Source organism: Homo sapiens, chromosome 10, assembly GCF_000001405.40.
Source record: "Homo sapiens chromosome 10, GRCh38.p14 Primary Assembly".
NCBI classification, from domain to species: Eukaryota; Metazoa; Chordata; class Mammalia; order Primates; family Hominidae; genus Homo; species Homo sapiens.
Window position 1 is genome coordinate 68,824,214 of NC_000010.11, and position 14,925 is coordinate 68,839,138.

At 50.4% G+C, this 14,925-nt stretch overlaps 1 protein-coding gene across 5 annotated transcripts in view, besides 4 other annotated features; it reads left to right on the top strand.

The window, feature by feature from the left end:
* Nucleotides 2,404–2,573: an enhancer, noted in NCBI's record as "experimental_16918 CRE fragment used in MPRA reporter constructs". NCBI's record gives its function as "activates a minimal promoter by MPRAs in K562 erythroleukemia cells, with activity observed for both the introgressed and non-introgressed 10:70586459 variant alleles {active_cell/tissue: K562}" and the evidence as "EXISTENCE:reporter gene assay evidence [ECO:0000049][PMID:34662402]".
* Nucleotides 3,140–3,519: a silencer, noted in NCBI's record as "silent region_2422". NCBI's record gives its function as "represses an Ori minimal core promoter by ATAC-STARR-seq in GM12878 lymphoblastoid cells {active_cell/tissue: GM12878}" and the evidence as "EXISTENCE:reporter gene assay evidence [ECO:0000049][PMID:35858748]".
* Nucleotides 3,318–14,925, top strand: part of STOX1 (storkhead box 1) — a 67,902-nt gene continuing 56,294 nt past the window's right edge. For 4 of the 5 annotated variants that reach the window (NM_001130161.4, NM_152709.5, NM_001130159.3 and 1 more), the window contains exon 1: nucleotides 3,318–3,720. In NM_001130161.4, the coding sequence (NP_001123633.1) occupies nucleotides 3,411–3,720 (310 nt within the window). In that variant the 5' untranslated portion in view covers nucleotides 3,318–3,410. Of the gene's footprint in view, nucleotides 3,721–3,763; nucleotides 4,057–14,925 lie in introns of those variants that run through there. The other variant, XM_011539454.3, reaches the window with a different exon arrangement.
* Nucleotides 4,011–4,090: a silencer, noted in NCBI's record as "silent region_2423". NCBI's record gives its function as "represses an Ori minimal core promoter by ATAC-STARR-seq in GM12878 lymphoblastoid cells {active_cell/tissue: GM12878}" and the evidence as "EXISTENCE:reporter gene assay evidence [ECO:0000049][PMID:35858748]".
* Nucleotides 4,291–4,340: a silencer, noted in NCBI's record as "silent region_2424". NCBI's record gives its function as "represses an Ori minimal core promoter by ATAC-STARR-seq in GM12878 lymphoblastoid cells {active_cell/tissue: GM12878}" and the evidence as "EXISTENCE:reporter gene assay evidence [ECO:0000049][PMID:35858748]".

Below are 14,925 nucleotides of genomic sequence, written 5' to 3' on the forward strand. Positions count from 1 at the left end.
AGGGGTCGTAGTGTGCACCTGTAGTCCCAGCTACTCGGGAGGCTGAGGTGGGAGGATTGCTTGAGCCCAGGAGGTTGAGGCTACAGTGGGCAGAGGTGGTGCCACTGCACTCCAGCCTAGGTGACAAAGTGAGACTTTGTCTCAAAAAAAAACCAAAAAAAAAAAAAAAAGGAATTTCATACATCTGAACAAAAGGTTCTAATGCTTAAGACAGTTCTACCTAATAATTTCAGGCCATGAAACCTCATAGCTAGATTCTGCCTTGCAGCATCCTTGCGGCTGTAGCCCCTGCTAACAAGGCTTTATTGTTTCTGTGTATTTCCAATTCAAATTCTTAGGAGAAAGAATCACACTTAGGACTTCTGACACCAGGCCACGGTCCAGTAAGTCAGGGTATGGCCTTGTCCTCATCAGGTGTGTGGGCAAGAAGACACTGGGATCACCTCCTCACCCTCCAGTAGTTTTGTCTTCACGGGCAAGTTGCCTAAACTCACTAAGCTTTCGTTTCTCCTGGGGAAGTCATGGCTTAATAATATTATCCCTTTTGGAGAACTAATTTTTGGATAAAATTAGTTCACATATGTAAAATTCCTTAGTACAGTTCTAGGCACAAACTGAGCTGAGAGTAAATGGAAATTATCACCGACCTTATTACAATGGGAAAGATGCTGTACTATATGCTACAGATATTGAGCCCAAAGTCATGGTTCTCCAGTATGGGGACACAGGAAGGCCACCCTTGATCCAGCAAGATGAGAGTGCCACGATAGAACCCAGAAGAAGAGAAGCTTTACCCCTCTTGAGAGTATACATGCATAGGAGTTCACTGTGTTTGTCCTATGGGCTGTATCCATCCATCCACCTCAGAATCAGAATTCAGATGTGAGATGGTAGTCTCAGGTTCACGTGATTATTTGCATTGAAAGTGAAGTCAGACTTATTTGTCATAGGGAAGCCTTACTTGGCAGTTGTCTGAGTACATTTCTTACTACCTGTGTGACTGGGAAACACTTCTTAATCCAACTAGCTGCAAGTCCCTCATCTGTAAAAACAAAACAAAACAACCAGGGATAATAATATTAATAGTAAACACAGAGTTGGCAGGCATGGTGGCTCATGCCTATAATCCCAACACTTTAGGAGGCCAAGGTGGGCAGATTGCTTGAGCCCAGGAGTTCAAGACCTGCCTGGGCAACATGGTGAAACCTCCTCTCTACCAAAAATACAAATATTAGCTGGGTGTGGTGGCATGCACCTGTGGTCCCAGGTACTCCGGAGGCTGAGGTGGGAGGACACTTGAGCCCGGAGGACCAGGCTGCAGTGAGCCTCGCCACTGCACTCCAGTATGGGTGGCACAGCATGGGTGACAGTCTCAAAAAAAAAAAGACAGTCTTGAAATTAATGGCCCCAGCATATAGTGTTCAATAAATGTTAGCTATTGTTATTATCTATCATTTATTGCGTGCTTACTGGGGGCAGGGTATAAATTATCTCCATGTTTATAGTTTTTATTGAGGACTGATGAGCTGAGGGAGTGGGAAGTCTGGAATGACTCCTAGATTTTGCCAAGCACCTCTGCTCCCTCACAGTACTGTGTTCTGGTACCAAGCATAATGCCCTTCCTCTTCTTCTTCTTTTTCTTTTTTTCCCGAGAGGGAGTCTTGCTCTGTCACCCAGGCTGGAGTGCGGTGGCACCATCTCAGCACACTGCAACCTCCGCCTCCGCGTTTAAGCAATTCTTCTGCCTCAGCCTCCCTGAGTAGCTGGGATTACAGGCGCGTGCCACCACATCCGGCTAATTTTTGTATTTTTAGTAGAGATGGAGTTTTACCTTGTAGGTCAGGCCGGTCTCGATCTCCTGACCTCGTGATCCGCCCACCTCGGCCTCCCAAAGTGCTGGGATTACAGGCATGAGCCACCGCGCCTGGCCCCTTCCTCTTCTTTTAACATGTTGTATTTTCAAATGGGTTTTTTTCTCAAGGAGCCCTCCCGCTGGGCCTCAGTCTGGGTCCTCAGTCTGAATCGGCCTTCACTGCTTTGAGGCACAGGTCACATTCTACCGCCACGCATCACAAGCTCTCCCTTTGCCTCTGGGGCAGGACGGTGTCCGTCTTTTCAGAATGTCCACATCTAACCCAGGGCAGAATCCTACGATATCACCACAGCGCCACACCAATCAGGGTGGCACCTCTCCACTCTGCTTTCCTCAGCACTCAAGAGTATGGGATATCCCCGGGGTAGGACCAGATCCTACAACTTCAGAAAGTCATGGATGAGGCCGGCCGGGCGCCGTGGCTCACGCCTGTAATCCCAGAACTTTGGGAGGCGGAGGCGGGCGGATCACGAGGTCAGGAGATCGAGACCATCCTGGCTAACACCATGAAACCCCGTCTCTACTAAAAATACAAAAAATTAGCCGGGCGTGGTGGCGGGCACCTGTAGTCCCAGCTGCTCGGGAGGCTGAGGCAGGAGAATGACGTGAACCAGGTAAGCGGACCGTGCAGTGAGCCGAGATCGCGCCACTGCACTCCAGCCTGGGCGACAGAGTGAGACTCCGCCTCAAAAAAAAAAAAAAAGAAAGTCATGGATGAAAGGGTCCTTAGTTTATTATCCTGTGAAATAGTAGCTGGGACATTTCTGAGGCCCAGAGAAGGGAAATAACTTGAATGAACAGGTTGGGAGCAGGCCAGGCGATGTGGCGGGCACCTGTAGTCCCAACTCGGGAGGCTGAGATCAGAGGATCGCTTGAGCCCAGAACTCAGTGAATAGCCACTGCACTCCAGCCTGGGCAACACAGCGAGACCTCGACTCAAAAAACAAAAATAGAAACAAACAACTAGCTTAGGCGCAGAACTGAGACTCAAACCTAGGTTTCCTGCTCAACCCCCACACCTCCCAGGCCCCCGCTGACACCCTCAGGCTGTTCCTCGTGGTTGCTAACTTGGAACGGCCCCAAAGCCAGGTCGAAGGCGAGTCTCCCCGCCCTGGGGACTCCTGGCGCTGCAGTTCGCACGGCGGATGGACGCAGTCAGGTTCTCCAGGGAGCTGCGAGGAGCCCCAGGACTTGGAAAAACCCCAGAGCGCGCCCCTGGGGGAAGGGGAGCTCGGGACCTCGAGGCGGCTGGAAGTCGAGGGCATCGCCAGGGGGCCGAGTTGGGCCCGGGTGTGGAGAACGAAGCCGAACGCTGGGCTCTGGATTCTCCTCCAGAGCGCTCCGCCGGCCTAAGCACGGCCGCCCCACCCCCGGCCCGCCAGGCGCAGTCGGCCCCGCCCCCTGGAGCTCCGTTCCCCCGGCAGCCAGCGCCGCGGACCCGCGCGCAGTCGGCCGATCCTCCCGCCGAGCGAGCGGCGTCGTAGCCGCCGCGCTCGCCGAGGCCCTGCGTTGCGGGCTCCCGGCCGCCGGCGAAAGCATGGCCCGGCCCGTGCAGCTGGCGCCGGGCTCGCTGGCGCTAGTGCTGTGCCGGCTGGAGGCGCAGAAGGCGGCGGGGGCCGCGGAGGAGCCTGGTGGGCGCGCGGTGTTCCGCGCTTTCCGTCGCGCCAACGCGCGCTGCTTCTGGAACGCGCGGCTGGCGCGCGCCGCCTCGCGGCTGGCCTTCCAGGGCTGGCTGCGGCGGGGGGTGCTGCTGGTGCGCGCGCCCCCCGCCTGCCTGCAGGTGCTGCGCGATGCCTGGCGGCGCCGGGCCCTGCGGCCGCCGCGCGGCTTCCGCATCAGGGCGGTGGGTGAGTGCGGGACCCGGAGGGGAGGGGCGTCCCGGCCCGTGCAGCTGGCGCCGGGCTCGCTGGCGCTAGTGCTGTGCCGGCTGGAGGCGCAGAAGGCGGCGGGGGCCGCGGAGGAGCCTGGTGGGCGCGCGGTGTTCCGCGCTTTCCGTCGCGCCAACGCGCGCTGCTTCTGGAACGCGCGGCTGGCGCGCGCCGCCTCGCGGCTGGCCTTCCAGGGCTGGCTGCGGCGGGGGGTGCTGCTGGTGCGCGCGCCCCCCGCCTGCCTGCAGGTGCTGCGCGATGCCTGGCGGCGCCGGGCCCTGCGGCCGCCGCGCGGCTTCCGCATCAGGGCGGTGGGTGAGTGCGGGACCCGGAGGGGAGGGGCGTCCCGCGCCAGCTGTGAGCGCGGAGCTCCGCGCTGCAGGGGCGAGCGCGGCCCCGTCTTCTGCCACAGAGGCTAGGCGCTGCTCTGAGGGCCCGGGGGCTGCGGTTGGGCGGCCGGTCCGGGGGGCCAAGACGCCCCGGAGACGTTCCCTCCCGCTAGGACACTGCAGCTATAGTCCCCAAGGTGTGCCTGGCCGCTGCTAGTACTGGCTCCGGGCTGAGTCCGTTCCTCAACTCTTAAAGCCCGTGGAGTGCACAGAAGGAACTTTCTGCTTAGAAAAGTGATGCTCTGGATAGAGAGGCTTTGGGCTAGGGGCCACTGTCTAGGCTCCACCGGGGCGGTTAGGAAGGGTACCCCAGGGGAATGGCCAGAGTTTACCATATCTGGCAGCTTTATTATTATTATTTTTTGAACTACAGATCTGCAGCGAACGGCATTCTGGTTTTCATGTTCTGCAGTGTGGTGGTCTTGGGTCGGGACCTAGCAGCTTTGGGGTCGTTAACTTCTTGGGGAAAACAAGTAGCGTCTCATCCCTTTAGCTGAATAGACAGGATTCCACCTTCCCAGTCTTTTCAAACTTAACTGTTTGTTAGACAACAGCAGCTTTTTGCCTTTTTTCATAAAATAGCTTCTCATTTGAGAAACTAAACCACCGCACCCGTGAGTGGTCTCTGACTCTGGGCACTAAACCCAGGCAGGTGTGTCAGCTCCCTGTAACAACCTTGTTCTTGTCTGCATTTATGTGAGGCTGCAAGGGCCATTTGATGGTGTGTTGACAAGTCACCAGTTGTTCCGCGCTTAATTTTCATTCTTACCAAGGAACCCCTCTGTATTAGTCCATAAATCATCCTCTTCCATCCGAGGAGAAGGAGTCGCAAATAAAAAACATTTGTTTGGCCAGGCGCGGTGGCGCTCGCCTGTAATCCCAGCACTTTGAGAGGCCGAGGCAAGTGGATCACCTGAGTTCAGGAGTTAGAGACCAGCCTGGCTAACATGCTGAAACCCCTCAGGAGTTCAAGACCAGTCTGGCTAATACGGTGAAACCCCGCTTCTACTAAAAATACAAAAATTAGCCGGGGCGTGGTGGCAGGTTCCTGTAATCCCAGATACTTGGGAGGCTGAGGCAGGAGAATCGCTTGAATCCAGGAGGTGGTGGTTGCAGTGAGCCGACATCAGGCCATTGCACTCCAGCCTGGGTGACAAGAGCGAAACTCCGTCTCAAAAGGAAAAAGAAGAAGAAAGAAAAGAAAAAAAGCACTTATTTAATTTCCAGGGATTTGAAAACAGGGCAGCAAGAAGCAAGCACCTGACCCACCGATAACTGTATCATCCATTCAGAGATGGTATTACCACATCCCAGCAGCCAGTGCTTTAAACCTTCACTTCTCACCTCCATGCTGTCTGTTCCCTCTCCTCCCCACCCCGCCCCCGTTTTTCTTAAGCTCAAAAAAGAGCTCTTTGCAAAACCACATATACACATTTCCTCTCCTTTTACTTGCAGGAGTGAAGAAAATAGGTTTCTGGCTCTGAGAGCAGTGAGCCAAGTAGCCAAGCCAAAATCCTCACGAGCGAAGAGGTCTTTCAGACAGGCTCGATGAAAAACTCTTTTCAGTTCTGCATCCTCAGTTTTTCTGGTTTGAATTAGTGGTTACATTCTCAGGTCCCCCCTTTCAAAGGGTGAGCACAGAGTATATTGCAGAGAGGGAGTGGGATGCAGGGTGGGGGGTCTAGACCTGGGGGCGAAATAAGAGAGGGCTTGTGCTAAGTCACGGGCTGCCACTAATGCCCCAGTGAGCAGTGGTAAATGCTGGTGTCTGTGTTGGTGCTGTTTGCTGCCATCTGAAATATGTATCACACGTCACCTGTTGCTCCCATTCTCTTCTGCCCAGTGGGTAATGCTGCCTCATAGCACAACTCAGGATGCAGTGGACACTATGACCCCATCTGTGGGGTGTGCAACGCAGTGGACTTCCGCCGGCTCATCACCCTTGACTTGGGTCTCCTGGCAGGAATGATTTTGAGGTTTTCAAATTTTGTTTTTAATTTAATTTAATTTTTTTTGTTTGACAGAGTCTCTCTCTGCTGCTCAGGCTGGAGTGCAATGGTACAATCTTGGCTCACTGCAACCTCCACCTCCTGGGTTCAAGTGCTTCTCCTGCCTCAGCCTGTGGAGTAGCTGGGATTATAGGCACCCGCCACCTTACCTGGCTAATTTTTGTATTTTTAGTAGAGACAGGGTTTCACCATGTTGGCCAGACTGGTCTCGAACTTCTGACCTCAAGTGAACTGCCTGCCTCAGCCTCCCAAAGTGCTGGGATTACAGACATGAGCTACCGCGCCTGACGATTTTTGTTCTTTATAATATTTTTATTCCTTTTTTTAAGCCTTGACCATGGCAAGGACAGATTTTGAAGCTTTTAACGAGTCCTGATACAAATTTGAACATTTAGCTGGGATTTGGACAAAGCCACCCATTAGGACATTTTGAGGAGCAAAATGGAGAAAGATCTTATTTGATGCTGAGTGATGGATACACATGGGGGACAAAGGGATGCTTTTGCTTTGAATAGCGTTGCTAATTGCTGATTTCTGGTCTAACTTGGGGTCCCTAGGTTCATATCAAAAGAGAAGAGGCAGCTCTTGGGCTACCTTAGAGTCCTGGAGGGTGGCGAAGGCAGGAGAAGCTGCTTTCCCCAAAAGGAATTGAAAGTTTGTGTCGGCTTGCTCTCTTGCCTCTTGCAGCACTGACTTCCAGGAGGGCGGGGAAAGAGCTGCTGTGGACTATTGCAGGTTGTTGCTCCATTCTCACTGTTATTTTGTAGGAAAGAGCAAAATGCTAGAAAAGGACAAAAAGAGTCAATCTGATCTCTTTGCCATAGATATTTATTTATCTATTTATTTATTTTTGAGACGATGTTTCACCCTTGTTGCCCAGGCTGGAGTGCAATGGCGCAATCTCAGCTCACCGCAACCTTCACCTTCTGGGTTCATGCAATTCTCCTGCCTCAGCATCCCGGTAGCTGGGATGACAGGTGCCCGCCACCATGCCCAGCTAATTTTTGTATTTTTAGTAGAGATGGGGTTTCACCATGTTGGGCATGCTAGTTTCGAACTCCTGACTCAGGTGATCCGCCCGCCTCGGCCTCCCATTTGCTGGGATTACAGGCATGAGCCACTGCGCCTGGCTAGATGTTTTTTTAAAGGCTAATTTACTGCTGCATAAAAGCATTAGGGTATAGGAAGTATTGCTGGCCAGCTCAGGCAGAAAATGCAGGGAGAGAGGGATGGCGGTCAGCTTTATAAGTCCAACTGTGCTGCCTTGGGTCTTATAAGACCTGGGACTTACAAGGTAAGAGGAGGGAGCACCCTAGCCAAGCCGACTGGAGTGACTGGAGCCCCAGTTGTAGACCTGAACTTAAGTCATGCAGAGGTTTATGTTTTCTCCAAGTTTTCTGCCTTAGTTCTCTCTGATTTCATTCTCTCTACCTTACCTTTCCTCTGGTAAGGAAAGTAGTTCCCAGGCAGAGAGTATTTCTCTAAAAAGAGAGACATTGGATCTTTAGCTTGATTAACAAGGGGCTAACTCTGTTTTTGTGCTCCAGTCCTCAAATGTTGTATTTTCTTTTCTTTTCTTTTTTTTTTTTTTAAGTGGAGACAGGGCCTTGCTCTGATTCCCAGGCTGGTCTCTAACTGCTGGGTCCAAGGGATCCTCCCCCCTCGGCCTCCCAAAGTGCTGTGATTACCAGTGTGAGCCACCGCACCTGGCTCAAATGTTTTGTTTTCTGTTTTTCATTAGCCAGTGGCTTTCACAAATGAAAGAGTGAGTTCTGGAAGCTGGAGGGAGACTGCTGCCTAACCAGCTGAGCCACTGGGGAAGGAGGTACTGCAGGGAGGTGGGGCACCTGTATTTGTTTGGAAGAATCTGTTGCTACTCTGAGAATACACCTAACGGGACAGGAAAGATTAACGGTGGGGGTGGGCGGCCACTTGGCCAAACAAGTTTGTTCCCTTCTGAAATTTATAGCTGGGGTGTCTCCACCCTGTCACCCCCAGCAGGGCCTTTCATCTTTTCTCACTGAATAAAAATGCCCCAGGCCATGCCTGGTGGCTCTTGCCTGTAATCCCAGCACTTTGGGTGGCTGAGGCAGGTGGATCACATGAGGTCAGGAGTTTGAGACCAGCCTGGCCAATGTGGTGAAACCCCATCTCTATTAAAAATAGAAAAATTAGCCCGGCATGGTGGCACGTGCCTGTAATCCCAGCTACTTGGGAGGCTAAGGCAGGAGAACCCGGGAGGCAGAGGTTGCAGTGAGTGGAGATTGTGCCACTGCATTCCAGCCTGGGCAACAGAGGGAAAATGTCTTAAAAAAAAAAAAAAAAGAAAGCACCAAGTGCTGGTGGCTCTTTTTAAATACTTGCTTCATGAATTCATTCATGAGCCAGGTACTGTTCTAGGTGTTTCTCTGTGTTTTGTTTTTTGTTTTGAGACAGAGTCTTGCTCTCTTACTCAGGCTGGAATGTAGTGGTACAATCATGGGTCACTGCAGCTTCGACCTCCTGGGTGCAAATGATCGTCCTACCTCAGCCTCTTGTGTAGCTGGGAACACAGTTGCGTGCCACTGTGCCTAGCTAATTAAAAAAAAATTTTCAGTAGAGGCAGGTCTTGCTCGCTATGTTATCCATTTTGGTCTCAGACTCCTGGGCTCAAACAATCCTCCTGCCTCTGCCTCTCAAAGTGCTGGGATTACAGGCATGAGCCACCTTGCCTAGCCACTTCTGTGGGTTTTTTTTTTTTTTTTTTTTTTTGAGACAGAGTCTCACTCTGTCGCCCAGGCTGGAGTGCAGTGGTGTGATCTCAGCTCACTGCAACCTCTGCTTCCCAGGTTCAAGGGATTCTCCTGCCTCAGCCTCCCGAGTAGCTGGGACTATAGGCGCGTGCCAGCACGCCCGGCTAAGTTTTTTTGTAATTTTAGTAGAGACAGGGTTTCTCCATGTCAGTCAGGCTGGTCTGGAACTCCCGACCTCAGTTGATTCATCCGCCTCAGCCTCCCAAAGTACTGGTGTAGCAGGACAAGCCGTAGACAAAACTCCTCAGACACCGAGTTAAAGAAGGAAGAGGTTTATTTGGCCGGGAGCATCAGCAGGACTCCTGTCTCAAGAGCTGAGCTCCCCGAGTGAGCAATTCCTGTCCCTTTTAAGGGCTCACAACTCTAAGAGGGTCCATGTGAGAGGGTCATGATCAATTGAACAAGCAGGGGGTACGTGACAGGGGCTGCATGCACTGGTGGTCAGAGTGAAACAGAACAGACCAGGAAGTTTTATAATGCCTTTCCATACAATGTCGGGAATCTGTAGATAACATAACCAGTTAGGTCGGGGTGGTCTTTAACTACCAGGCTTAGGTCAGGCAGGCCCAGGACTGGTTTCGGGTCTGATTCCTAGGCGCCGGGCTACCTGCCTTTAGTTTTGCTTTTCTTTCTTTTTCTGAGTATAAAACATTATAAAACAATATGAGAGGGTCTGTCTCTCTTCTCTTACTGGCGTGAGCCATTGCACCCGGCCCGCTTCTGTGTTTTAATGCATCTTTCATTCAGATTTGCCTCTGCTCAAGGGAAATAGAGTCAGGCTTATTTTCCACATCTAGTTCAAGAGGGGATAGCTGAGTGGGAGGCCATGTTCTGGAAACTGGCTGGTTCACACAATCTTCTCCATCCCACAGTGACTCTGGGTACTGCAGTTTCTGCCTTTAATTAGGCAGGAGTTCTTTGTGCTTTGGGAGGTACTGAAGATCAGGCACATCAGGTTGGCGAAAGGGAAGTGATGGGAGGATCTTCCACATCTCCTCGTGCTCCTCCTACCTGATCCCCCAAATCCCTCTGAGCATGGCCTTCCAATCACAGAGAAATATTCAGGCAAAATTGCAAGTACTCTAGGAGTGTAGAGTGTAGTATCTGCACTAACGCTAGATGTTGACTGGTTTCAGAATCTATCCTGGGATCTGGTTTGGGAGAGGAAGAACAGTGCTAGGGTACTCGGTGCCTGATGCTGCAAGAATTGGGCAAGTCTCTGGACCACTGTTCTTATTTGTTCTGTGACTTAGGGAATGGTGTGGGGGAGTGTGTACAAATGGTAAGGAAAGGGAGTGGTCTGATTCCTATTCTGTTTTATTTCTGAAGTCCTACCTTGAATGACAGTAGGACATCTTACAGCACTTCGTAGCTAATGGAATTTTGTAGGTGAAATTTATATTTAGGGAAATGCACACATCTTAAGTTTACTATTTGATAAATTTTTCAAATGCATACATGTGGTAACCCACATTCCTAGCAGGATTAGAACATTACCATTACCCCAGAAAGTTCCCTCCTGTCCTTTCCCAGTCAGCTCTGCCTCGATTCTCAGAGATAACCACTATTTGGAATTATTTTTTCTTTTTTTGTTTTTTGAGATGGAGTCTCACTCTGTCACCCAGGCTGGAGTGCAGTGGCGTGATCTCGGCTCACTGCAACCTATGCCTCCCGGGTTCAAGCGATTCTCCTGCCTTAGCGTCCCAAGTAGCTGTGATTACAGGCGTCTGCCTCCACACCCGGATAATTTTGTATTTTTAGTAGAGACGGGGTTTCTCCATGTTGGCCAGGCTGGTCTCAGACTCAAAACCTGAGGTTATCCATCTGCGTTGGCCTCCCAAAGTGCTGGGCTTATAGGCGTGAGCCACCATGCACGGCCAGGCTTTATTATTACTATTGTTTATTGATTTATTTTGAGATGGAGCCTTGCTCTTTTGCTCAGGCTGTAGTGCAGTGGCATAATCTCGGCTCACTGTAGCCTCCACCTCCTGGGTTTAAGCAATTCTCCTGCCTCAGCCTCCTGAGTAGCTGGGATTACAGGCGCCTGCCACCATGCGCGGCTAATTTTTGTATTTTTAATAGAGACGGGGTTTCACCATGTTGGCCAGGCTGGTCTCAAACTCCTGACCTCAAGTGATCTGCCCGCCTCGGCCTCCCAAAGTGCTGGGATTACAGGCATGAGCCACCGCACCCGGCTGGCTTTATTATTATTTTTTAGATAGAGGGTTTCACTCTGTCATCCAGGCTAGCTCACTGAAGCCTTGAACTCCTGGGCTAAAGTGATCCTCCCTTGTCAGTCTCCTGAGCAGCTGGGACTACAGGCACCCATCACCACATCTGGCTAATTTATTTTTATTTTTTGTAGAGATGGAGTCTCCCTGTGTTGTCCAGGCTGGTGTTGAACTCTTGGGCTCTCACTTCTCTGGGCCTCTAGTTCTTTAGGTATGAACGTCTTCCTGCCTCTGCTTCCCAAAGTGCTGGGATAACAGGCATGAGCCACCGTGCCTGGCCTGTTTTTAAACACATTAAGTTACTTACCTTCTCATCGTATTATGCATTGGGCCTTTTCGATATCCTTCCGCTTATGCGCATTCCTACTGAAAAACACCAGTGCAAAATTATTTTCAGTTACAGGCAGCAAAAGTGAGACTTGAGGAGTCACTGAAAACTGTAGTTTAAAGTTTCCAGATGACCCAGAACCACTGTGGTTAGTGAAGAAAATTTGAGCTCAATTGTTTTTTTCTTTGCATGGAGTCTCGCTCTGTCGCCCAGGCTGGAGTGCAGTGGTGTGATCTCGGCTCACTGAAACCTCCTCCTCCTGGGTTCAAGCAATTCTCCTGCCTCAGCCTCCTAAGTAGCTGGGATTACAGGCGCGTGCCACCACGCCAGGCTAATTTTTTGTATTTTTAGTAGAGACGGGGTTTCACTGTGTTAGCAGGATGGTCTCAGTCTCCTGACCTTGTGATCCACCTGCCTCGGCCTCCCAGAGTGCTGGGATTATGGGCGCGAGCCACCACGCCCCGCCCTTGAGTTCAATTTTTTGTGCTGCTATTTATTAGCTGTATGTCCTTGAGCTAGTTACTTAACCTCTCTCAGCTCCATTGTCTACATGGGTACAAATGAGGACACAGTAGCCCCTTTTCAGGTTGTTTTGAAGATAAGGTACCTGAGAGCCTTCAGCCTGTGCCTGGTTCAGAGTCAGCATCAGGAAAATAACAAATACAAGGCAATTTCCAGCATGGAGGAAGAAGAGAATGGGTCTGGATTCTTGTTCACTAGACAAACCTGTCTCTGTTAAGACTTGTGCTAATCATTGCTTGCCTGACATATACTTATGTTCAAGACCTCCGTCTGTCCTTCTGTCTCGTCCTTCTGTCCTGTCCTTTGTGCTTAGTGCTGGTCACGTCCACAGCCGTGTGTTGTCCTGTGCCTCAGCCCAGGTCCCAAGGGCTGCCTGGTGTCGGAGAAGGAGCCTGTACTGGGATTCTGATGCCTGAGTTTGCAACCAACCCTGCTGCTAAGTAGCTGGGAGCCCCCCAGCCTATCCTCTCACTTCTCTGGGCCTCTAGTTCTTTAGGTGTGAACGGCTTCCTGCTCACTTTGACTCTGTTGACTGGCTAAGCCTTCCCACCTAGCTTGGCCCTGGCCTCACCTGGGTCAGCCTCCCAGTCATCTGTGTCAGGAGGCCTCGGGAAGAACAGACAGAAGCTCACATCAAAGTTGCTTAAGATATTTTCCACAAACAGGGGAAGTATACCTTCCTCTTAGTACTGCCCAGACATCTTGGTTCTCTAATACCATTCCCCCTTCACCAAGCAACTGAAGCTACACAGTTGTTGAAGCACCCACACCATGCTGGGCTGCCCTTGCGCTTGCAGTCGTTTGTTAGGTATGCATTGAGCATTTACCCTCTGCCCAGCCTGACTGGTTGGTCCATACAGAGGGGCAAAAGGCTCATGCCCTGTCCTCAAGGAGCTCATAGTCTAGGGAGCAGATGGATGAATAAGTGATACACAGTTATAGGGAGCAATAAAAGGATAGCTGATCAAGAATCCCATGCATATGTGTATGTGTATTCAAGGAAGACTTCCTGGAGGAAGTGATGCCTAAACTAAGATACACAGAATAAGTAGATGTTAGCGTAGTGAGAAGCACATTTTAAGTTGAGAGTGGGGCATGTGTCCCGGTTGTATGACCCACATGTGGAACCACAAGCTTCTGGGTGCAGCTGGAGTATGGAGCGGGAGGTGGGCGTTGGCACAAAGGGCCTGCAGAGGGGCTGACGTGGAATGGGCCCTGAGTACTCTACTCATGCATCTGAGCCTGAGGTCACTGAAGAGTATTATGCAATAAAGTGCATGTATGTGATTATATTTATAATCCTGTTTACATGATATACATGGCAGATACTTCTCAGCCTGAAGTATGCATTATCTTTCATCAATGGTTGTCTGGAATGGTGGCGCCTTGGAAGGGTGATGTAAGCCCCCATGGGCCTACGGGAGTGCCCATGGTGCTTGTTCAGTGGCAGATCTGACATCTGAGAAAGACCTCAGGAGCCATGCAGGACACCTAGGATCTAATCCCTTGTCACTAAGCAGCTGAGTGACCAGCTTCTCATCCAGTCCTCTTGGGGCCTTGGTTGCCTCATGTGTTGGTAGGTATTCTGCCTGCCCTTTTTACTGCACAGATTTGGCATCGGACTCCAATAAGATACCATCTATGCAAACACTTTGAAAAGTGCACAGTACAAACACCAGCATGTCTTTACATCTATTTGTGCCTTCTTTAATTTCTTTCATAAGTGTTTATAGTTTTCAGTATGCCTGTCTTTCACCTCCTTAGTTAAGTTTATTCCTAAGTATTTTATTCCTTTTGGTGATGTTGTCAATGGGATTGTTTTCATTTCGTTTCTTTTTTTTTTTTCTTTTTTCCTTTTTGAGATAGGGTCTGGCTCTGTTGCCCAGGCTGGAGTGTCGTGGTGTGATCATGGCTCCCTGCAGCCTCGACCTCCCAGACTTAAGTGATCCTCCCATCTCAGCCTCTCCAGTAGCTGGGACTGCAGGCAGGTGCTACCACACCCAGCTAATTTTTGTGTTTTTAGTAGTGATGGTGTTTCACTGTGTTGCCTAGGCTAGTGTTGAACTCCTGGGCTCGAGTGATTCTTCCGTCTCGGCCTCCCAAAGTGATGCGATTACAGGCGTGAGCTAGGACTGTTTTCTTAATTTCCTTTTTGGATAGTTTATTGTTAATGTATAGAAATGCAACTGATTTTATGTTCAGTGTGGGTTCTGTAACTTTACAGAACTGATTAGTTCTAAGAATTTTTGTGTGTGGCATCTTTAGGGTTTCCTATGTAAGATCATGTCATCTGTAAACAGAGATGATTTTACTTCTTTTCTGATCTGGATGTCTTTTATTTGTTTTTCTTGGCTAATTCCTCTGGGTAGGACTTCCAGTAATATGTTGAAAAAAAGTGGCAAGAGCCGGGCGCGGTGGCTCATGCCTGTAATCCCAGCACTTTGGGAGGCTGAGGCAGGCAGATCATGAGGTCAGGAGATTGAGACCATCCTGGCTAACATGGTGAAACCCCATCTCTACTAAAAATACAAAAAATTAGCCAGGTGTGGTGGCAGGCACCTGTAGTCCTAGCTACTCGGGAGGCTGAGGCAGGAGAATGGTGTGAACCCAGGAGGCGGAGGTTGCAGTGAGCCGAGATTGCACCACTGCACTCCAGCCTGGGCAACAGAGCGAGACTCTGTCTCAAAAAAAAAAAAAAAGAAGTGGCAAGAGTGGGCATCTGTGTCTTCTTCCCAGTCTTAGAGGAAAAGCATTCAGTTTTTCACTGTTAAATAAGATGTTAGCTGTGGGCTTTTCACATATGACCTTTGTTGTGTTGAAGTAATTTCATCCCATATCCATGGATTGGGAGACTTAGTATTTTTTAAATGTTCATGCTACCCAAAGTGAGCTACAGATTCAATGCAATCCCTA